At 41.2% G+C, this 24,161-nt stretch overlaps 1 protein-coding gene, 1 long non-coding RNA gene and 1 pseudogene across 3 annotated transcripts in view; 2 read left to right on the top strand and 1 right to left on the bottom strand.

The window, feature by feature from the left end:
• Window positions 1-5,607: 5,607 nt before the first annotated feature.
• POTEG (POTE ankyrin domain family member G) overlaps window positions 5,608-24,161 on the top strand; it is a 31,856-nt gene continuing 13,302 nt past the window's right edge. For both annotated transcript variants that reach the window (NR_027480.2, NM_001005356.3), the window contains exons 1-7: window positions 5,608-6,180; window positions 10,960-11,074; window positions 11,234-11,407; window positions 14,237-14,343; window positions 15,647-15,784; window positions 18,255-18,325; window positions 23,591-23,661. Coding sequence is in view for 1 of the 2 variants with exons in the window: in NM_001005356.3 (NP_001005356.1) it covers window positions 5,660-6,180; window positions 10,960-11,074; window positions 11,234-11,407; window positions 14,237-14,343; window positions 15,647-15,784; window positions 18,255-18,325; window positions 23,591-23,661 (1,197 nt within the window). In the remaining variant the exon portion in view is untranslated. The remainder of the gene's footprint in view (window positions 6,181-10,959; window positions 11,075-11,233; window positions 11,408-14,236; window positions 14,344-15,646; window positions 15,785-18,254; window positions 18,326-23,590; window positions 23,662-24,161) is intronic.
• LOC101929572 (uncharacterized) lies at window positions 15,365-18,923 on the bottom strand. Its single transcript, NR_110504.1, has 2 exons — window positions 18,529-18,923; window positions 15,365-17,051 (listed from the first exon to the last, which is right to left on the bottom strand). It is a non-coding gene; the product is annotated as an uncharacterized LOC101929572 (long non-coding RNA).
• On the top strand, window positions 17,028-17,134 carry RNU6-1268P (RNA, U6 small nuclear 1268, pseudogene; annotated as a pseudogene).

Below are 24,161 nucleotides of genomic sequence, written 5' to 3'. Positions count from 1 at the left end.
AAGCTAGGTCATTTTTTTTCTGTTACGATCTATTCTGATTTCTTGGGTTCAAGAACAGATAAATAAATTTTAGAAACTGAAGAACCCACTTAGACATTCTCAAGGTTAGAAACCATCACCATCATCCTATTCTGTGATGCTATGGACTTTATTGAGTTACATCTTTGCCCTTTTCCCTCAAGTCTCTCCTCTGGATTTATTTTGTGAAATTAGATTCTGAATCACATTTTGTTGCATAAACTGTGCTTGAGCAAAAAAAAAATTTTTTTTTCTAAAAACATCCTTAGTATACATGGGGTGAAGAACAACAAACGTGTCTCCTCTTTCCACTAGTCACACCATTACACTCCTTTCCAGCCTCTTTGCTGCTGCATATGGCCATTCAAATGAGCCCTAGCTAAGTACATGTCGATAGAAGTTAATGTTTGCTTCTTGCAAGCCTGGCCCGTGATTCTATGTTCTGATTTAGAACATTCTGATTTAGAACATAAAAAGGAAGTGAGACTTGCTGAATGAGACAGAGAAAGCACTCTTGAACGCTTCCTCTGACAAGCTCCGAGGCACACTAGTTGTTTTGCAGTGCTTTGGACAGCTACTCATTTGTTGGACAATAATTTCCCAACATGGGGACAACCCAGAACATTTTCCACGTTCATATTCTGCTTCAGTTGCTCATGGTTTTGGTCAAAGCTAGACAGTGACTAATGCAGGAGACTCAGACCCCAGGCCAGCGTGGAGTCCTGTGGTTGAAGACAGGCTGGACCGTCAGAGGAAGAAAACAGCCATTTTTTCTGGATTTTCACTTTCTCTGTTTTCAGGAAACCTGAAGCCGGTTATGTTATTCAGGCATGACTGAAAAGAGATTATTTTGAGTTGTTTTGGTGGCACCAAGAAATGTGCCAATGTGACGGCCAAAAAAGCAGAAAGACCAAGGCATTGAGTGTGGGAGAGCCACTGATGATGCTGGGTTTGGTAGGCTTTTCGAGATCTCCCAGCCCCAAAACAGCCAAGCAACTTTGTCCTGGGTTGTGAGTGGGCTCAGCCCCTGTGTACACCCATGCTTGGATTCTGGCACACATGGCACCCACAGGAGGCAACGCCCCCTCCAGGAGACCGGTTGGCAGGACCCTGTCTCCACACGTGAAGACAGCAGGCAGAACCCACACGTCCTCTACTTCTCCCAGTGCCAGTCACCCATGGGGGTTCACGATGAGACTCACAGGTCCAACCTGCAGGCAGAGTTACCACCCCAGCCTGAGTCAAAGTGGACCTTTTTCTGCCAGAGGGGTCTGCTTTCCCATTGGCCAAAATGGCCTCAAATGACAGGGACAGAACAAGGCACAAGTGCCCATTAGAGTGTCTGAGCCCACCTGCTGTCTGCTCCCACACATCTCCTGGGAGGTCCCAGCAGGCACCCAGGCCTGGGCCACAGCTTACCCCACATTCAGAAGTGGATAGCACAGCTGCCCTGTGCAGGCCTCAGGGAGGAGAGGGAGAAAGAGAGATGACAAAAGCAAGACAGAAGAAATGCAGCAAAAGCACACACACACACACACACACACACACACACACACACACGCACACTGACACTCATCTGGGGCAGGCCATCCTGTCACCATGACGAGCAGTACAGGCAGCCGAGAGCCGGGCAGGAGGCGGTGCCGCTGTCCCCTGAGTTAGGGTCTGGATCCAGGGAAGAATATAGAGTCCATAGAGTCAAGGGCCACTGACCTCAGGACCTGCAGTTTGCAGGGAGGGGATGCTGTGAGAAGAACTGTTCCACGTCACAGCTAAATATGTCTGACTTCAAGAAAATATTTCAAACCAAAGTACATTTATGGAAGATTCTCGATGATATAAAAAAAAGCACAGTTTAGAAAATGGGAAAGCAATCACTGGACAGATTCATATATTTTCATCTAAATTTAGTTACAGAGTTTTTCTAAAACTGGGATCAGGCCAGGTATGGTGGCTCAGGCCTGTAATCCTAGCACTTTGGGAGCCTGAGGCAGGAGGATCACTTGAGACTGGGAGTGGGAGACCAGCCTGGGCAACATGGTGAGACCCCTTATCTCTACCAAAAATACAGAACTTGGCCAGTCATGGTAGCACGCCCCTGTAGTCCCAGCTACTCAGAAGGCTGAGGTGGGAGGATTGCTTGAACCTGGGAGGTTGAGGCTGCAGTTAGACAAGATTGCACCACTGCATTCCAGCCTGGGTGACAGCCCGTCTCAAAAAATAATAACAATAATTCCTGATTTTAATAACGATTCTGGAGTTGTGTAGGTTCTCACTCACGTGGGAGCTAAAGAAACTTGATCCCATGGACAAAGAGAATACAATGGCAGTACCAGAGGCCGGGAAGACTGGGTATGTGGAAGGGAGAATGAAGAGAAGTTGGCTATTGGGTACAAACCTACATTTAGAAGAAATAGGCTGTAATGTTTGACAGCAGGCTGTGGTGGCTAAGTAATATTATTATGTGTAAATATTCAAAGTAACCAGAATACACATTTTATGCATGTAACAAGTATTTGTATGTACCCTACAAAGAGGTAAAATATTATGTGTCAGTAAGATGGAGAGGTTATGCCCAAGCCTCCAGAGAGGGGCTCCTTGGATCCACACAGCACATCTTGCCCACCTGCATCCATTGCTGCACTATGCTCGTCATATCTGGGCCTTCATGTTCTGGTCCCCAAGGCAGGTGATGCTGAGTCAGGTGGCCACACTGTGGACCTGGGTGTTGGTGGCCCAGAGGGTGGGTGCTAGAGGCTTCCTGCCCTTCTTGTTCCACTGGGACCAGATGGAGCCAGGCAGTGACAGGCTACCACCTTCTTGACCAGATCCTGGAACACAGGAGTGTCTCACCTGGCCCCTCATCATCCCAACTTAGCACCCAAAGTACCTTCGGGCCTGGACCATGGCTGGGCCGGAACTCAGGATGGTTAGGATGCAGCTCAAGCCTTGTGGCATCTCTGGGTTCTCTGTCCACTGAGGGTGCCCTGGGACACAAAGCTGGTGGGAAGAGGTTGGCATTTCCCCAGCCTATCCTTACTCATGCCAAGCACCCCAGACTGTCCTTCCTGGTGCATTGCCCTGGTCACATTCCCCAGGGCAGCTCAGGGCTTTGTTTAGGGATTTCCCATAGTCAGGTGCCTGATAAGTGTTGAGATGTGCAAGGCCACGTGGGCAGATGGGTAGGTACTCTTTGGTGAGCACCCCCAGCAGGGCAGTCCCCCACCCAGGTGTCTACCTGCTCCTGCTTGTGTTTGACTGTTACAGCACCTCATGCCAGGGCCACCAGCTCCCATCCCTCCTGTCAGGAAGGACACAGACAGCAAGCGTCTGGGGGTAAGGCATTTGCCAGGTGACACAGGTGGCGAGTGCCGGAGCTGGGATTTGAACCCGGATCATGGTACTCTGTATGGGGCAATGGAAGGTTTGAGGATGCCCATGTAGGAAGGAAGGGCAACGTGGCCCCACTGAGCCCAGCTGCTCCCTGTGAGCCTGGAGGAAATTGCTCAGCCCCCCAGCTGGGGAGAGAGTCCAGGAGGCCAGGCTTTCTCTTGCTTCCTGGCTCAGGGGATCACAGAGGAACAAGGAAATTTAGTGTGTGTGTCTTCTTTTTGTTTCATTCAAAATTTAATTTAGTATCAAGCAAGAGGAGCTTTAGCTTAACCCTGCATATCAGGCAAGATTTCAGTTACAAAATAGTACCTTTTTTTTTTTTTGCACTTGTGATTGGCTTTTCCTCTACTTCTTTTGGTAAGAGCAGGTTGGTGTCCAGGCTCAGAATCCATTTTTCCTCCCACACCAAAGCACCTGTGGTGTGGGTGAAGCAGACTGGAGCCTGGCTGCATAAAGCTTTGCAGCAGGAGAGTCCTGGCAGGAGCATTGAGGTGCCACTGCCCTGGTCCAGCTCAGAGGCCAGCACCAGGGAGGCTCAGTGTCTTGTTCTCAGGATCTGCACGTGGGGTTGCCTTTCTGCATCTCCCCATCAGTGGTAGGTGCTCCTCCAAGCCCCCTCTTGCTGGCCTGGACACAGCGGCCTGCACCTTGACCCTATTGCATGCCAGTGGAGCAGAGCCCCCCAGGCCAGAAGCCCCACAGATGTTGGCCCTGGCTTGGACAGGCAGGGGGCACCGGGGCAGGAGCTGGCTGCGATCCTGTGGCCCCAAATGCCCCCTCGCTGATGGCCTCGTGTTCTGGGTGTGGAGCAAAGAGGAGCAGGTATCGAAGGCACCTCAGGCAGGTGCTGGGCTCAGTGGGCGTCTTGTGCTCCATGATTTTTTTTTTCAAATTTTATTATTATTATACTTTAAGTTTTAGGGTACATGTGCATAACGTGCAGGTTTGTTACATATGTATACATGTGCCATGTTGGTGTGCTGCACCCATTAACTCGTCATTTAGCATTAGGTATATCTCCTAATGCTATCCCTCCCCCCTCCCCCCACACAACAGTCCCTGGTGTGTGATGTTCCCCTTCCTGTGTCCGTGTGTTCTCGTTCCATTCCCACCTGTGAGTGAGAACATGCTCCGTGATTTTGAGGCCATTTGCAGCCAGCTCCGCCAGCCGGTGCTCTGAGCTGCAGCAGCGGCCATGCACAACAGCACCACCAGGAGTGTCCTGGGGGCTTTCTTCAGAGGAGGCTGTCAGCATCCTCAAGTTCCAGCCCCTTAGCCCCAGTCCTGCTTCAAGAAGCTTTTTCTTTCACCAGAGGCTTCTCAATGGCCTGAAAGCTCGGCTGACTCCCAGGAAGTTTGCCGGGAAACACCAGGCTGTCAGTGACATTCGTGGTTCCAAGGCTTATGCAGGTTGCACGCATCGGCCACTGTCTGTGCCACGTGTACTGACACCACCAGAGATGCGCACGCCGCACGCCGCACGCGCACGCCGCACGCGCACGCCGCACGCGCACGCCGCACGCGCACGCCGCACGCGCACGCCGCACGCGCACGCCGCACGCGCACGCCGCACGCGCACGCCGCACGCGCACGCCGCACGCGCGGCAGTGGCTTGGCTGGCTTGTAACGGCTTGCACGTGCATGCCGTGCGCGCACACCGGACGCGTATAACGGTTTGGCTGGCCTGTAACTGCTTGCACGCGCATGCCGCACGTGCGTAATGGCTTGGCTGGCCTGTAATGGCTTGCACGCGCATGCTGCACGCGCGTTAACGGCTTGGCTGGTCTGTAACAGTCGGCATGCGCACACTGCACGTGCGTGACGGCTTGGCTGGCCTGTAGCGCTTGGCTTGGCTTTGCGTTCTTTGCTTGGCTTGGCGTTTGTCGCTTGGATTGACATTTCTTCCTTGGACTGACGTTTTTTCTGTCACGTTACTTTGCTGGACTTGACCTTTTCTCTTCTGGGTTTGGCATTCCCTTGGGTGGGCCGGGTGTTTTCTTGGGGGGTGGGGTTGGCCCTTCCTGGGGTGGGCGTGGGGTCGCCCAGCGTGGGTGTGGGCTTTCCCCAGGTGGGTGTGGGTTTTCCCTGGGTGGGGTGGGCTGGGCTCCCCTGCTGGGGTTGGCAGGTTTTGGTCGGGACTTTTCTCTTCAAACAGATTAGAAACCCGGAGTTATCTGCTAGTTGGTGAAACTGGTTGGTAGACGCGATCTGCTGGCTACTACCGGCCTCCCCTGGCTGTTAAAAGCAGATGGTGGCTGAGGCTGGTTCAATGCCGGCTGCCTCCTCTGTGAAGAAGCCATTTGGTCTCAGAAGCAAGATGGGCAAGTGGTGCCGCCACTGCTTCCCCTGGTGCAGGGGGAGCGGCAAGAGCAACGTGGGCACTTCTGGAGACCACGACGATTCTGCTATGAAGACACTCAGGAGCAAGATGGGCAAGTGGTGCCGCCACTGCTTCCCCTGGTGCAGGGGGAGCAGCAAGAGCAACGTGGGCACTTCTGGAGACCACGACGACTCTGCTATGAAGACACTCAGGAGCAAGATGGGCAAGTGGTGCTGCCACTGCTTCCCCTGCTGCAGGGGGAGCGGCAAGAGCAAAGTGGGCCCTTGGGGAGACTACGACGACAGCGCTTTCATGGAGCCGAGGTACCACGTCCGTCGAGAAGATCTGGACAAGCTCCACAGAGCTGCCTGGTGGGGTAAAGTCCCCAGAAAGGATCTCATCGTCATGCTCAAGGACACTGACATGAACAAGAAGGACAAGCAAAAGAGGTAACCAGGCCTGGGCTGGGAGGAGGTGGGATGTGGGAGGATGATGGGGACATACCCTCCTGGCGGGGGAGGAGGGGAGCCTGGTTTTCTCGCCTCCGCAGGCCTCACACCACCCTGGATGTGGAAACCTCAGAGAGTTCAGGGCACAGGCCCCTTTATGAGCAGCAACACAAAAACAAAACTTTAGCTGATTTCCAATCAAATTATAATTTCCCTCCTAGAACACTAATAGACTGTTTTGAAGTGATTTAACTCGCAACATTGTCGATGCAGCAGATTATTTTTAATGTACAGATTTTAAAACAATGTTCTGTACGTTAAAAAAGTGTATATTGAGAACTAAGAATGAAGCCCCATAACACATCAACTTCAGGGCTAAATATTCTTCAAATAAAATCCAGTATGGATTTTATATCAATGTACACTATGTAAATATGTTCTTTACTGAGTAATCTTAGAAGATTACTTAGAAGAACTGAAATGGGAAGATGGTTCTTGTGCTTGAATAGGAAGATTGAATTTTCTGAAGATGTGAGCTTTTTGGCTGGGCGTGGTGGCTCACACCTGTAATCCCAGCACTTTGGGAGGCTGAGGAGGGCAGATCATGGGGTCAGGAGATCGAGACCATCCTGGCTAACACGGTGAAACCCCGTCTCTACTAAAAAATATAAAAAAAATTAGCTGGACGCGGTGGCAGGCACCTGTAGTCCCAGCTACTCAGGAGGCTGAGGCAGGAGAATGGCGTGAACCCGGGAGGCGGAGCTTGCAGTGAGCCGAGATCACGCCACTGTACTCCAACCTGGGAGACAGAGCAAGACTCCATCTCAAAAAAAAAAAAAAAGTGAGCTTTTTCTATTTATCACTTTTACTTAAGCCAAATAAAAATAGCAGTTTTAGAGTTTTTAAATTACACATGCTGTCTTTTATTATTGTGCTAAGTTAATTTTTTTGTAGCAGAATGGACAAAGGCTTGCTTTTCCAGATGTCAAAATGTGCATGTTATTTATTTCCACAAATTGTTTACTAACAGCTGAAAAGACATCAATGAATAAAACAGAACAGGAAATTTAGAAATACCGAAATATATGTAGGAATTTAGCGCTTGATAATGGTGACGTTTTGTATTATTTAAAAAAGATGGATTGTTCATAATTCATTTTTGGAGAAAACTAGCTAGATGTTTATATCACAAAAATCAGAGTATAGATTAAAAATTTTAAATATACAAAAAGAGAAACATACCAGAAGAAAACACAAGTGCCTATTTACATATGCAGATATATATACACATGTATATATATGTATATATGTATATATATATGTATATATATATATACGTATATACATATATATACATGTGTGTGTATATATATATATATATATATATATATATATATATATACAAAATTTCTTTTTTTTTTTTGATGGAGTCTCACTCTGTTGCCCAGGCTGGAGTGCAGTGGTGCGATCTCGGCTCACTGCAACCTCTGCCTCATAGGTTCAAGCAATTCTCTGCTTCAGCCTACTGAGTAGCTGGGATTACAGGCGCCTGCCACCACGCCTGGCTAATTGTTTTGTATTTTTAGTAGAGATGGGGTTTCACCATCTTGGCCAGGCTGGTCTTGAACTCCTGTCCTCGTGATCCACCCACCTTGGCCTCCCAAAGTGCTGTGGTTACAGGCGTGAGCCACCATGCCTGGCCTATATATGCAATAAAATAAGCACATTTTAAAATTGGGCAAAGTACTTTTTTGCATATCTACCAGTGACCTATGTGCATAGGAAAAGATAGCATTCCTGGTAGAAGAAGGAATTTAAATTAGAAGAGGAATGAAATACTGTTTTCTATTTAAGTTAGAGGAGGAATGAAAGGCCAGGTGCAGTGGCTTACGCCTGTTACCCCAGCACTTTAGGAGGCTGAGGCAGGTGGATCATGAAGTCAGGAGTTTGAGACCAGCCTGGCCAGTGTGGTGAAATCCTATCTCTACTGAAAATACAAAGAATTAGCTGGGCATGGTAGCATGCACCTGTAATCCCAGCTACTCAGGAGGCTGAAGCAAGAGAATTGCTTGAACCAGGGAGGTGGAGGTTGCAGTGAGCCGAGATCGTGCCACTACATTCCGGCATGGGTGACAGAGTGAGACCCCATCTAAAAAACAAACAAACAAAAGGAATGAAATACTGTTTTCTATCCACAAAGTTTGTGAGGATGAATAACAGTGGTACTTATATAGTTGTTTAAAGTTTAAGTTGCTGCAGCTTTTCAAACAGGCACTTTAGTGGTAAGAACCACATTTTAAAAATGTTATGCTTTTTCCTCATCAGTTCCATTATACTGAAATATCTTCACCAAATAGATGTCTGTTTTTCTTAGTATTGCTTAAAATAGCAGTGTATTTAGAAAAGCCCATATAAAGATTTCATGAACAAATTTCAGTGCATCCATAGGACGGAATAATATGTAACTATTGAGGGTGTCAGTACATAGAGATATGTCGACATGCAAAGATGTACTTTGCTATAGCAAGTGAGAAAAAAATCAGTTTGTTACACATATACACGAACAGAATCTGCTCTTGTGTTAGCTGAAAATATGTAGAAAATATAATCAAACTTGTTTCTGGGGATTTGTAAATGAAGTTTTTCCTTTTATCTGTGATTTCTGCAATGAACATCTGAACTTTTAGTTTAGGTTCATTAGTAATGACATAATCCTTGGGAAGAGAAGGAATATGCTTCTTGCATAGATGCAAATAATTTCTCACATTCTATTATTTATTTTTATTTCTGTGGTTGGCTATCTACTGTGAACTTTTACCCTCTTCAGAAGTAGAGGGATTGTGTTTACCTGTTCCTGTAGATTTTATTGTATATAGATTTTATCACATAATTACCTTTTCATTATATATAGATTAACATGTAAAAAGTATGAATTAATCATTTTAGTTGAGTTATATATTTATGAAAATTAAAATAGCAAATATAAATGATATTACTATTGCAAATGTATTGCCCTACTCTACAGGAGTTTTCTTTAAAAATATTGAACTCCCAAGCTGTGTTCATCCATTGTTTTCAATCCGTTTAGTCATCAGACATAAGCCAGACGCCTATTATGGGGCAGGCATATTCTACTATCTCTCAGGATCCTTCCATCTTTGAAAACATTTATGTTTGCCTGCTGGGCTTGAGCAAGCTGAGAGATTTAAAATTGGGGCATTAGGACTTAATCTCAATTGAAGCTTCTCCTCCCTCCTTTCAAACAGAAGCATTTCTGAAGGTAGAAAATAGTAAAAGACAACCCTTAACTGCCCTTTTGAAAATGTATAAGTCTTGGATAAAGACTGTTTTAGTTGTTTTAAGAACTAAAATGTGGTACATAAACAGCATGGAATACTATGCAGCCATAAAAGAAGGAACGAGAGCCTGTCCTTTGCAGGAACATGGATGGTGTTGAAAGCCATTATCCTTAGCAAACTAACATAGGAAGAGAAAACCAAATACTGTATGTTCTCACTTATAGGTGGGAGCTAAATGATGTCAACACACAGATACCTAGAGGGAAGCAACACACACTGGGGCCTATCAGAGGGTGGAGGGTGGGAGGAGGGAAAGAAGCAGGAAATAGAATGAACGGGTACTGGGCTTAACACCTGGGTAATGAAATAATCTGTACAACCAACCCCGTTGGTGCACGTTTACCTATGTAACAAACCTGCACATCCCGCACATGTACCCCTGAATGTAAAAGTTGAAAAAAGCTCCACAAATAGTTTCATAAATCCATTTTAAAAAGAGAAAATTTATAACAGTCTTAAATCCTAATATGAATGATTGGAAATATCTGATGTACATACATTGTATAAATCTAAGTATTGAAAAAAATGAGCCCATGCTATTCATTTCAATTCCAAGTTTTGTTTGGCTTAAAGTTTATTGAAAACCAAAGTAAGAATTGGTTTATTTTAGAAATTTGTTTTTGTTTTCACTTCAGCTCTCTTATTCCATAGTACTTTTAAGAACTAAAATTTAAATGCTGGTCATCTGACTGGAACCGCCCCAGACCTGTTACATTATAACATATTCTACTTAATGTAAGGCACCAGAGATTGTACGATGCCCCATTATTTTATGTCTCAATAAGAGAATTATTTAAATGCCACCAATTATAGTAAATCATGAATTGTAAGTGGTATTTCAGTGGAGACAACATGGAGACAATGATCATCTCAGAATCACTAAAATACAATGTTAGCTGTAATATTTAAAACACACCTGAAAGTGTAGGTATAATTGTATCATCTCACTTAATTCAAATGTTGTCTTTAGTGGTATTAGTAAAAATCATAATATCTAACAATTATTGAGCTGTTATTTGTGTTAGGAACTATTCTGTATCTTTTGTGCCGAGTCTCATTTAAGCATTACAGTGGTTTCCTGTGAGAAAGCTACTATTTTCATTCCTATTTTATTGATGAGGAAACTGAGACCCCAAAAGGCTAAGCAACAGCCAGAAAGTGACAGAGCTTCAAGTAGGATTCCAGCCCAAGTTGAATGTCATCCAAGGGCTATGCTCTTTGTATTCATATAGGCTGCTCTTTCATTAATACAGCGAGTAATGAGAGATAATAAATCGTGTGCTTTTTTCATGGGAAAGTTAAATGTTTGTTTTGAAGGCACAGTAATAGCAGGCTATTCAGTGTTTGTGATTATGTGTGTCATTGATATGGCTGTAGCTAGTGCACTACAATTTCCTAAAAAGTCTTCTCACCCTCATAGGACTGCTCTACATCTGGCCTCTGCCAATGGAAATTCAGAAGTAGTAAAACTCCTGCTGGACAGACGATGTCAACTTAATATCCTTGACAACAAAAAGAGGACAGCTCTGACAAAGGTATGCAGTAGCCAACTATGTCAGCGTGAAGTGGGTTTGATTTCAATACATAGCATAAAAATGAGTTTTCTCCTTTAAATATAACTAGTTGGTGAAAGCTGTGGAATGTTATTTTGAAATCCTAGGATTTGTAATTTGTTTATGGTGTAATACTGACAGGCCGTACAATGCCGGGAAGATGAATGTGCGTTAATGTTGCTGGAACATGGCACTGATCCGAATATTCCAGATGAGTATGGAAATACCGCTCTACACTATGCTATCTACAATGAAGATAAATTAATGGCCAAAGCACTGCTCTTATACGGTGCTGATATCGAATCAAAAAACAAGGTATAGATCTACCAATTTTATCTTCAAAATACTGAAATGCATTCGTGTTAACATTGACCTGTGTAAGGGCCAGTTTTCCATATTTGGAAGCTCAAGCATAACCTGAATGAAAATATTTTGAAATGACCTAATTATCTAAGATTTTATTTTAAATATTGTTACTTTCAAAGAAGCATTAGAGGGTACAGTTTTTTTTTTTAATGCACTTGCGGTAAATACTTTTTTTTGAAAACACTGAATTTGTAAAAGGTAATACTTACTATTTTTCAGTTTTTCCCTCCTAGGATTCTTTTCCCCTAATGAATGTAAAATGGCAAAATTTGCCCTGAAATAGGTTTTACATGAAAACTCCAAGAAAACTTAAACATGTCTCAGTGAATAGAGATCCTGCTTCTTTGGCAAGTTCCTAAAAAACAGTAATAGATACGAGGTGATGCACCTCTCAGTGGCAAGGCTTAAGATATTTCTGATTGCTCATGAGGCAGAAGTGGAAAGGGAAAAAGAGAGCAGTCAGAAATATCAGGGCCAATTTGGAAATTAGGCAATAGAGGGAAAAGACCATGAAGAGGTTGTGTGTGTGTGGTGTTGTTGTTGTTGTTCATTTATTTATTTCCTTTGTATGGTGAGACAAAGTTCTCTTTGATTTTAGAGAATGACAGTTTTCAGTTTGGGAGAGGGAGTTAGTGGGTTGTAAACTGCCTAGAGATGAATTTTAGGAGGCCTCTGAGGAACCAGATTGGCAGTGAATAGGTGGGTAATGTAAGGGGAAACCCTTGAGCAGGGGGAATATCAAGTAATTAACTGACTTAGTATCCTCTTCTGGTAGAAGTGGCCAATTAGAGCCTCAGCTCTGCTTTCAAATCTAGAGTGTCTGGATGGGAAGGTGGAAGATAAATGAGTAACAAGATCAAGTTGGATTTTGAGTTGACTAGATCCTGTTGTGTTACCGGGAAAAATTATGTGGTGTTTTCAGCAAATGGGTCTCTCTCCTACTCTTTACTCTTTTTGGCCAAATCTTCAAATAAGAAAGGGAATTGGTTATGTGGGTGGTGAGAAATGAGACTGAAGTAATTGTCTATTGTACTAGCTTTCAGCTAGAATTGTGCATCCCAGTAACCTGAGGAAAATTTTTAAATAATCAACAAGTCTAGGCTTATTCCTGAAGATTTTGATACAGTAAGTCTAATAAAGCTTGGATATGTATATTTAAAAATGTTTCCTTGAAGCCAGGCATGTTGGTGCATGGCTGTAGTCCCAACTGTTAGGGAGGCTGAGGTGGGAGGATTGCTTGAGCTCAGGAGTTCGAGTCTAGCCTTGTCAACATAATGAGCCCCTGTCTCTAACAACGACAGCAACAATAACAACAGCAACAATTTTCTCAAAATCTGGATACACTCCTGCTTAAGAACCACTGAATACATAAATGTAATATATAAATTCTTATATCTCAGAAACTTAAGGTATCTCTAGAAGAGTTGGAGTTGGATATGTGCTGATTTCTTTAAATCTTTCCTTTCCAATAACATTAATCTGACTTTTTTTTTTTTTTTTAGATTGAGTCTCACTCTGTTTCCCAGGCTGGAGTGCAGTGGTGTGATCACAGCTCACTGCAACCTCGACCTCCCGAAGCTCAGATGGTCCTCCAACCTCAACCTCAGTTGTTTTTTTCTTTCTTTCTTTTTATTTTTATTTTTATTTTTATTTTTTTTTAGTAGAGATGAGGTTTTTGCCATGTTTCTCAGGCTGGTCTTGAACTCCTGGGCTCAAGCAATTCATCCCCCTCAGCCTCCCAAAGTGCTAGGATTACAGGTGTGAGCCACCATTCCTGGCCTAGTCTGACTTTTATCTCTGTGGTTGAGACATTAAAATGAATATTATTGGTAGTATCTATCAGGTTACAGAATAATATATTTTCCTTTCTACCATCAGTTATTCACTGCCATTCAGAAGGTCTTTAGTAGTTTGCTGTGAGCAGTCTTTCAATAAGTAGAGGATGGCCCTCTCAGGATTTTGTGTCTCTTTGTTCAGTCATTCAAGTGCTTAGGTCAGTAAGTCATTAAGAGCAGAGTTTTCTCAATTGGAATTAAGCAAATTCTAAACTGTTTTTTATCAATTGAAGCTGTATTGTGGACTGTCCAGTGTGTCTCTTTAAGTATGTAGAGCTTTGGCATAATCAGCATGGCAGTTTTACACACTTAAAACCATGGAGTTATTAAGAATACAGATAGAAATTCTGTTAATTTAGTTTCAGTAGTCCTATGAACTGATTATTTAGTAACAATCTGGGAAAATTAAATATAAATAGATTTTAAATAAATAAATGTTGGAAAATTTTTTCAGATGGGCAGTGTGAGTTTTAATAGCAATTTTTGTTGCATGTTGGAGGTTGAACTTTCAGTAAAACATGAAACTAAAGAAATATTTTACATGCAAATTCTTGCTTTATACGCAATTTATCTTAGGGTTGAGGATATAGAAACAAAAGATACAGCCCCTGCCCTCAAGGAGCTCTTTGTTTAGATGGGAAAAATATTACCATCCAATAATACCATATCAAATGCTGGGTTAGAAGCAAAGAGCCTTGGAAGCAGTAAATGTTTAAAGTGAGTTTTTGAGATGAGTAGAGTTACTGTGGTGAGGCAGAGAAGGGGTGTTTCCAAGGGAAGGAGCAGCGTGTGGGAAAGCACAGAAGAGTGAGAAGGAAGCGACTACATTTTATTTACTTTCTATGCATGTAAGTCCATAAGATCTTATATAAAGTTTCCACTTCGGTTGAGGAATATGTACTTTTTTGAATTACATACGTTTTTGCTTTATATTGTTTTACAGCATGGCCTCACACCACTGTTACTTGGTGTACATGAGCAAAAACAGCAAGTGGTGAAATTCTTAATCAAGAAAAAAGCAAATTTAAATGCACTGGATAGATATGGAAGGTATAGTTCTTTCTTTTAATCTGTGTGTTCCAGATGGATAGCAGTCACTCAAGTCATAAATATTAAATAAGATTAATGTATACTTATTGGGATATAGTGATCAGTATGAACACAAATCAGTTCGGTAGAAAAACAATTATTTGGACTGGGCAACATAAAAGTTTTAGTAGGATTCATCTTTTATTATATTGACTGATGTTATTTGCTATGTAATGTTTTTGGTTACATGATCTTATGTTAGCTAAAGGGATTTCATATTTTATGAAGTTTGAACTTTAATTTTAGTTTACTTTATGACTCAGTATTGAACTTCTTAACCCTTTCTAATAGTTTTTAACCTGTGTCTTACATGCTTTTCCACTAAATACGCTGTATTAACCATAAATAGGGGTTGAAAATCCTTTTGTCTTTTCAATGATTCTGCCTTAAGTTGCTTTCTTTGAAGAATATTAATGTTAGCTTATCCCTGCATGACAATTAATTGCTGTTCCCACGTACTGTGGGTTCAACAGCTTTTTTCCTTTTTTATTTCCAGTGTATTTTGATGTTTTTATTTTTAATTGGTATGGAGAGAGGGAGTGAAGATAGTTTTAAGTGGATACACTTTTCCTTTAATGAAGACAAGCCGTAGGTGGGTGATAAAGAGAAAAAAGTTAGGCTTTAGATTCACACAATACTGGGTTTAATTCCTAACTTTCTTACTTGCTAGGTGTGTGACCTTGGGAACGTTATTTACCACCAAATATGTTGTCATATATGAAAATTAGGAGAATACATTCCTTCAAAGTTTGCTGTGCATAAGAAAGATATATGTGGCATTTAATTCAGTGCCTAGCACATGCTTATTGGCATCATTAACTGAAACTCCTGTGACTACTATTCTTACCATTATTATTAATCTTACTTGCTTTCAGCACGCAGAGAGGTCTTATTTATTTTACCCCCTAGCTGATTTTCTATTACAGCATATCAGTCTAGGGAAGCTGTGATGAAATCTTCACTTAAATCTTTGTTCATTTCAGATAAGTGGCCCTAATATTGTTTCTTGTCCATCAAAGGACTTTAAATTAGTAGCTTCTGCTATGCAATACCCCACTGAGATAAGAGGGTTTTTTTTTTGTCCCTTCCTTTTAACCTTGGTGGTATTTTACAAATATGAACACTTGAGCACTGAAGATGCTTATGTCTTTTAGTGCATGTAAATGTTTGATTCTGCACGGACAGGCAAGATGTTAAATTGGTAAAGTATATCAAATTAGCTTTTAAAATAACTTTATTACTGTTCCTATCTCTGTCATTTTAGAACTGCTCTCATACTTGCTGTATGTTGTGGATCGGCAAGTATAGTCAGCCTTCTACTTGAGCAAAACATTGATGTATCTTCTCAAGATCTATCTGGACAGACGGCCAGAGAGTATGCTGTTTCTAGTCATCATAATGTGTAAGTGTTTACATTAAAAGGCTAGTTAATGCTAAATTGAGGTTTAAAATAATTATAACAGTTACATCTTACATATCAGGTGAGATGTCATAGTTCAGTTCAGGTAGTTTTCGCGTGGCAGTGAGTTAGTCCCCTGCATCAGCCAGAAATCAGACAAAAAACAAGACAAGTTAGAAGTACCAGTGGGTGCAGGATTCTTTATCTCAGGACTTTTAAGACCTTTATCCATAGAGATCCCAACATTGTTCATTTGATCCAAGTGTAGCACCTATGCATGGGATAAAAAATAGTATCACATCTTTGATTTTTCTGATTAGTTATTTGGGTCTTGAAATGTCCAGTTTATCAGAAAGTCTTGTACTGTCTTCTGGGGACTATGTCCTAGATACTCCTTGAATTTTTCAGGAACCAAAGGGGTTCACTAAATCCAAGGAAGACGGTCCCTTTTATCAAGTCAGAAGGAGGAGAAAAAAAAGGACATTGCAATCATTCTGTTGTTTCCATTGATTCTGCTGCTGCATTGTTGCCACTCAAACTGGTCCTGCTGCCTTAAGATGAATCGGTAGATTCAGGTCCCTCAAGTCTTCATGGCAATTGATACAGTGACTTTGATGTTTTTTGTTCCCATACCTATGGTTATATGCTCAGCCATTGTTCCCAAAGCAGCAGCCCCCTGCTCTGGCCCCTGGGCATCCTGACTTTATCCACACACAAAATGAGCAAATTGACCCTTCCCCCCATATTCAGAACCTAATGTGGAACCCACATCTTAGCCAAGAATTAGCTGAGACCTTCATGGTAAGAGATCCTTTGAGGCCGTTGTTGGTCTTTTCTCTAGCAGATATTAGGTAGGCTTGTTCTAAAGGGTCAGAGGAGTTCCAAAGGGTCAGAGGGGTGGCAGAAAGAGATCAGTGTTTGTTTCTTCTTCTTTGCTACCAGATCTATACTGTGAGGCACCTTTATATCCTGTATAGAACCTTGGGCAGTAGAAAGTCCCATATGAACCTTCCCCTGAGCAGTGGCTCCCAGCTGTGGTTGGCCCCTTGAGTGACCCGATTTACATGATAATGAAAATCGTCCAAGCTACTTCCATCTCTAGCTCAAGATTTTAAGATATTTTCAAACTCTAGCTCACAGGAAGCCATTGAAGAGAAATCTCAGAATCTCAGGTAGGTTAGTTGGACTCAACAGAGCCAAGCCTTGTCCATGAAGCATCACTAGGCATGTGTAAAAGTAGGGCTTTGTGCTTGCTTCGGCGGCACATATCCTAAAATTAGAACAATACGGAGAAAGTTAGCGTGGCTTCTGCATAAGGAGGCAGCACAGATCTTTGAAGCATTCCATATTTTGTGCAGTCACTGGAAGGTCATTTGACTATTTGCTGACTAGCTCTAAGGAAACAGTGTGAATCAAAGCGAAATGGGTGCCACCCAAATATTGAAATTGTGATTTGCGCTGCAAAAATAGTCATGTAAGATGGTCTATGAGATGACTTAGAGCTGAATAACATGTTTGGTGCAAAATATATTGTTAGTATGTATGTCGAAAATGACAGAATGTCAGCTTGCTACTTCTTCATGGAAACTAAAAAAAATAAAAGTAGACTTTTGGTCTCCCATGTCAGCCGGAATTGAACATCAATATAAAGCATCATTGTAACCAACATCTGCGGGCTCAGAGTTTGAGTCTGTAGAGAAGGCTCATTGGTCCAAACCAGGTCTTAACATCCATTGGTTTTTCTGCCCTTGGTGTGATTGATCAACTCCGTAATAGTGGACAATCACATTATCTACTTTAATGAGATATTTAGGAATACATTTAGTTACAAACTATGACATAGTTGAGATGCCCTGAAATATAAGCCATAAAGAGTAGGACAACTAAGAGGCAAAATTAGGACTTAATAACATTTTCTGAAAACTACAACATTTGCATATTAGAACCTATGAACAAAATACGCATTGGGTTTTATTTGTGATTCCAAGATAATTTTAGTCATAAAGTTTAGGAAGAGATTATTCCATTGCTTTACTATTTCTCTCAGCATTTAAAAAATGTGATCTCATTAAATTTTTATCGGAACCTAGGGAAATAAGGCAGCAAAGTCCTCACTTTGTTGAAGAAGACATTGAGCCTAAGAGAAGCAAGTTGTCCAAGAACAAATAGCTGTTCATTATGGAGCTAGGACTTATGCAGAGTTGGGACACTTTCTATTATGTCAGGTTAATGCAACCTAATTTACTGGGTCACATGCCCTCGATTTATGAGTATTTCACCCTACATTTTTTTCTTCTTTAATTAGAAGCTTAAAGAGAAGTTTGCAGAATGTACTCATAAGTGGATAGGATAATACTGTTAAGTTCTGATATTCTGATATTGTTTGAAATACTGTTAAGAATTTCACATTTGGTAAGTATTTTTTATATCAGTATTAAAATAGTAATTTGGTTTATTACAATTTTATACATAGAATTTGCCAGTTACTTTCTGACTACAAAGAAAAACAGATGCTAAAAGTCTCTTCTGAAAACAGCAATCCAGGTAAGACTTATAACAGTGAATTACTTTAGGTTAGTTTTCCCCAACCTTTTTGGCACCAGGGACCGGTTTTGTGGAAGACAATCTTTCCATGGGCTGGGGAAAGGTGGGGATGGTTTCAGAATTATTCAATCATGTTACATTTATTGTGCTATTTTATATTATTATTACATTGTAATATATAATGAAATAATTATACAACTTACCATAATGTAGAATCAGTGGAAGCTCTGAGCTTATTTTTCTGCAACTAGATGGTCTTATCTGGGGGCAAAGTGAGACAATGATAGATCATCTGGCATTAGATTCTCATACGAAGCACACAACCTAGATCCTTCGGATAGGCAGTTCACAACAGGGTTCGTGCTCCAATGAGTTTCTAATGTTATCACTGATCTGAGTGGAGGCAGAGTTCAGGCTGTAATATGAGCCATGGGGTGTGGCTGTAAGTACAGGTGAAGCTTCCTTGGCTTGCCTAGTGCTCACCTCCTCCTGTGTGGTGTGGTTCATAATAGTCCGTGGACTGGTATGAGTCTGTGGCCTGGGAGTTGAGGACCCCTGCTCTGGGTGGTTCTACCATAGATAAAAAACTAAAAGTAAGGAATTTTTGATCACAAAAGAACACTGAAGCACAGGTCATGTTACATATGCTTGTCCCAATAAGGTCTCACTATTACTGACTTCATTCCTCCTCATTTGAAGTTGGAAAGAGATATATTGACTTTTTTGGAACAAGATGTGTTCTTCTACCTGCTGGTTAATTGTCATGATAACAGTAATTTTGTTAGAACAAGATGCTCTGCTACCATTTGCCAAAAGAGTGTCATAATAAATATGCAAATTGCCCAACTCTAGGCTCAGCAGATTATCATAAAAGTAGAAAAATGTTTCACACTAACAAAAATGCTAGTATGCTACCTGATTGTAGACACCTAATACATTGTATAGTCCAAACTGTATGAGGACACCTTTAATTTAGCCATCTATTTATCAAAGAGCTTCTGTAAGTTAGGTTTTATAAGTTGCAGGAGACAAAAATGGAATAGATGTAGTTTTCATCTTTAAGGTGCTCATAATAGAGCTGTCTCCATTTCATTGCTGTGCTTTTTCAACAGAATTTACAAAGAAAACATTTCTATTTTCACTTGTCCACTTAACAGATAACTATCAAATGTCTTTTAGATACTAGCCATTTTTTCTAATGCTACAGAGCACAAACAATTAAAAGTAGAGACAGGAGCTTGTTATTATCATTGTCATTTTCATTATTTGACTACTTTATTCAGTGCTTACTGTGTGCTAGATGCCCACTGGAAGCTTATAATTATGATTTATTATATATTGATTATGTGCCAGACATATGTGATGAGGAATGAAAATTTTGGAAAAAAGTAGGTATGATTTAAGGTAAGCATGCAGAGAGAGAAGAATTTTTCTAGGTAAAGAAGCAGAAGAATAATGTTTGGCAGAAGGAACATGCAACGAGGTTGTGTGTTTGCCAGAAGGAACATCTAATGAGATTGTCTGTTTGGCAGAAAGAGCAGCAAGTGCAAAAGACAAGATGCTTGAGTGAACTTTGCAGGGATTCTGAGCAATTCACTTTTGCTAATACCAAAAGTGTGAGATACGAGAGGTTGGGAATGAGGTGAATACTCAGCTAAGGCAAGTTCATGATAGACTTTTTAATACTATAGAAATGAGTAGGTTTTACCCCATGGGCCATGGGAAGTTTACCAGGTAGAATGCTTTGGACTGCAAATACTAGATGAGCGGTGGCTAAAACAGTAGGAACCAGAGTTGTTTTGTTTGTTCATTGATATCCTAGGATCCCACTTGTCCCTCTTTCAGCTGTGCTGTTGGCAGTGTTTTATTCACGTAACTGGGAGAAAACTTAGAAGCATGCAAGGGCTTCCTGTAATATTTCATTGGCTAGGTCAGAGTACCTGCTCATTCCCAAACCAGGCACTGGGAAGGAAAATACATGATTAGCTTAGAATAAACATTTCTCTTTCTGAGGCTGAGGAGGGGGATTGGGATAATAAATATCCCAATAGACTTGTGTTTCTTCTGCAAGAAAGAATAAGGAATGGCTATTGATAGGGAGCCAACAATGTGTGCTGCAGGGGCTCATTGGAGAAATTTGAGCAGGGGAGTCACAAGATTAAATTTGAGTATTAAGGCTTCTGGTTATGGTGTAAAATGGGTTAGAAAGCTTTTTCTGTAAAGGACTAGGTGGGAAATATTTTAGACTATGTGGTCTCTGTCATGTCTTCTTAACCCTGCTGTTGTCTGCTGTTGTAGTGTGAAAGCCACCAGAATTATATGTAAGCAAACAGGCATGACTGAGCTCCTATAAAACTTTACTCACAATGCCATAATGCAGATTGGATTTAGTCTGTAGCCTATAGTTTGCTGGGATTGATGGAAGGTTCTTTACTATGTAAAGAAACCAGGAGACAAAGGAAGCTTTTGCAGTAGTCAGCTATGGTTTCCTTGTCATACATCCTTGGAGTAGCATCAATGTATTACAAGGTTTTCACCTGTCCATAGTGAAATAAATAAAGTTAGGAATCTCAATTACTCGTTTTAATATGTTGGCCTTTGTTTTTGTTTTTTTTTTTTTTGGTGTTATGCTTTTTTCATTTGTTTAGCTTAATTTTTTTCCCGTAAGAAATAACATTAATTGTTGGCAGTTTTTTTTTTAATAAAAGCCATTTTGTAAATGTTCATGTTCCCAGTGGCAGTGGGAATACAAAATGGAGGCAGAAGAGAGGTATCGTCAATATGATTTAGTGATAATTGAATGAGAAAGGCTTGGGGGACAGAGAGAAATCTCAGATGATGTACAGGTTTCCAGGTTGTACACTAGTATTTAACCTAGACGTGAGGAAGGAGTAGGAAATTTTCTGGTGAATACAGAAGAGCAAAGAACAGCAGGTCAGCAGGAATGACTAATGTTTTTCTATGCATGTTTAATGGAATATTCGTGTAGGATATTTTGAGTAGGTAATTGGATAATCAGCATTTGTAACTTGCATCCTAGTAGTCTGACTCTCACTAATAAGACTTGTCAAAGTTCCAAGAATCTGAAAGTGGATGATAAATGTCCATGTGTATCACCATCCATGACCGAAAGTCAGCATCCACAGAACACAGAATTGGGACAGATGAACTTAATAGATAAAGATGAATATCGGAGTTGTTCCTCTTAGGGAATGATACTCTCCATGAGCTGTGTGAGTCACGGCTGCCAGAAAAGAAAGAGCAAGGAGCGTATGAAGGCAGCACAGCAAATTCAGTCCTAGAGTGCCCTGCTTGGCTTCGTGTCATAGTTCTGACTTCTAATAAATCATTTTCTGCAAAATATGCTCTGTGTTTTTCCCTCTTGCTGCCTGCAGCCAAACAGAATCCCTTTAGCAGGGCATTTTTGTGTTCTTCCTTTAAACAAGGCAACATATAAATAATGAAAACAAGAGAAAGAGTGGTTTTTGTATGGGATAGTATTTAACGTAAACTTGAGAGTGAGTACCAGGATTATACTTAGAATTTATGGACTGGATGGGAAGACTGGATAGAAATCTAAAGATTGCTGACTCAAACACAATGTAATTTCTTTGCTTTATTGTCACAGCTCTGAATTCACGACTCTTAGTTGTATTCATATGCACTATAACTTTACAAAGCATCTTCCCAAACCAAATCTTTACTGATTTATTATAATTTGTATGACTTTATTATAGAATTGACTTTCCAAGTGTTCATGAGAATTATTGAGAATTCGCTACATAGTATCATTTCAGTTGTGTCCACATGAATTATCAGTCACCTTGTCTTAATGAATAATGGTTCACTACAAATATTGGTTTTGGCATTTAAAGTGATCTATATCTAAATGCAGATAGGACCAGGGACCACTCTTGAACATTAATGTCCAAGCATCTTAAAATTACACATGAGGCTTTCATAATCTGACTTCTGCCCCACTCTCCATCTTTAGCCCTTTTCCCTGTGTGCCCTTTCTCTGGCATTACTGAGCTGCTGGTAGTGCCCTACTCACTCATCCTTCTGTTGTAGGCAAATACTTTCATTCTTTCAGGCCTCGCTCCCGCTCTTGCTGCTGCCGGGCATGCTGTCACCCTTTCCTGCCCTCTACCCCTTTTAATCTGGCCAGCCTCAATATTTAAGTCTCTGCTTGGGCATGTGTTCTAGAAAAGCCATCCCTGAGATGCTTTATTTTCATTCTTTTTAGACCCTAATGCCTAGCATGTATGTAGCAGGACTCAATACAAATTTTCTGAGTAAAACAAAGACTGTTTTTACAAAGATGATGTGCAAGACTCTCCCCTGCAGTTTTGGAGCAGAGGGGACAGACATATGGAGAAATAATGTACAGCTTAGGGGGTAAAGATGCCGTAGAAAAATCAGTAAAATACTAAGGCAGCCTCAAGGAAGGAGATACCTGTTTATTTGGGGAAAGACATGCAGAATCAAGGAAGACTTCACATAGAATTGTTTCAAAAGATGAAAATAAGGCTGGGTGTGGTGGCTCATGCCTGTAATCCCAGCACTTTGGAGGCTGAGGTGGGCGGATAATGAGGTCAGGAGATTGAGACCATCCTGTCCAATGGTGAAACCCCATCTCTACTAAAAATACAAAAATTAGCTGGGTGTGGTGGTGCTTGCCTGTAATCACAGCTACTCAGGAGACTGAGGCAGGAGAATCGCTTGAACCAGGGAGTCAGAGGTTGCAGTGAGCTGATCGCACCACTTCATTCCAGCCTGGTGACAGAGCAAGACCCTGGCTCATTAAAAAAAAAAAAAAAAATTAAAATAAATTTGTCAGAATTATGGAGGGAAACATTTTAGATATTAGGAAAATGTTGTACAGTAATAAAGGTGTCAGCAGTGATTTTGGAAATCATTTATAAGGTACTATTAGGAAGTGGAGAACAATATACTGTGTCACTTTATTGTTTCTACTGTATTTTAAAGCTGTGTTTATGGTGGTTTTGTTCATTTATGTTGGGTGGATGAATTTATGAGGGAATTTTTAACATGTGTGTATGTCTTCAATCTGGTGACATCTGATGTCTCCCCAAGTGGTTTTTTGAAGTTTTTGAGAATTATTTCGTAAATGACAATTTCATGAAAGATTAAACACTCAATTTATGAAATAAAATGAAATGTCTTAAATCTGTTTTTAAAAGGCAATAGTTTTTAACTGTTGTAAGTGGTTGATTTTAACTGAATATATGGATTTTTCAACAGAACAAGACTTAAAGCTGACATCAGAGGAAGAGTCACAAAGGCTTAAAGGAAGTGAAAATAGCCAGCCAGAGGCATGGAAACTCTTAAATTTAAACTTTTGGTTTAACGTTTTTTTTGTTTTTTTTTTTTTGCTTTAATAATATTAGATAGTCCAAATGAAATTACCTTTGAGACTAGGCTTTGAGAATCAATAGATTCTTTTTTTAAGAATCTTTTGGCTGGGGGGGTGGCTCATGCCTGTAATCTCAGCACTTTGAGAGGCTGAGGTGGGCGGATCATGAGGTCAGGAGATCGAGACCATCCTGGCTAAGATGATGAAACCCCGTCTCTACTAAAAATACAAAATCTTAGCCGGGTGTGGTGGTGGGCACCTGTAGTCTCAGCTACTCAGGAGGCTGAGGCAGGAGAATGCCATGAACCTGGGGGGTGGAGCTTGCAGTGAGCCGAGATCTGCCACTACACTCCAGCCTGGGTGACAGAGCAAGACTCTGTGTCAAAAAAAAAAAAAAAAAAAAAAAAAAAAAAAAAATTTTAATAGATTCTTAAAATTTATTGTAATAAATTCAGCAAC

This window comes from Homo sapiens, chromosome 14 (genome assembly GCF_000001405.40).
Source record: "Homo sapiens chromosome 14, GRCh38.p14 Primary Assembly".
In the NCBI taxonomy this organism is placed as follows: Eukaryota; Metazoa; Chordata; class Mammalia; order Primates; family Hominidae; genus Homo; species Homo sapiens.
The sequence above is the reverse complement of the archived record's forward strand: the minus strand, read 5'-3'. Positions and strand labels throughout refer to the sequence as shown.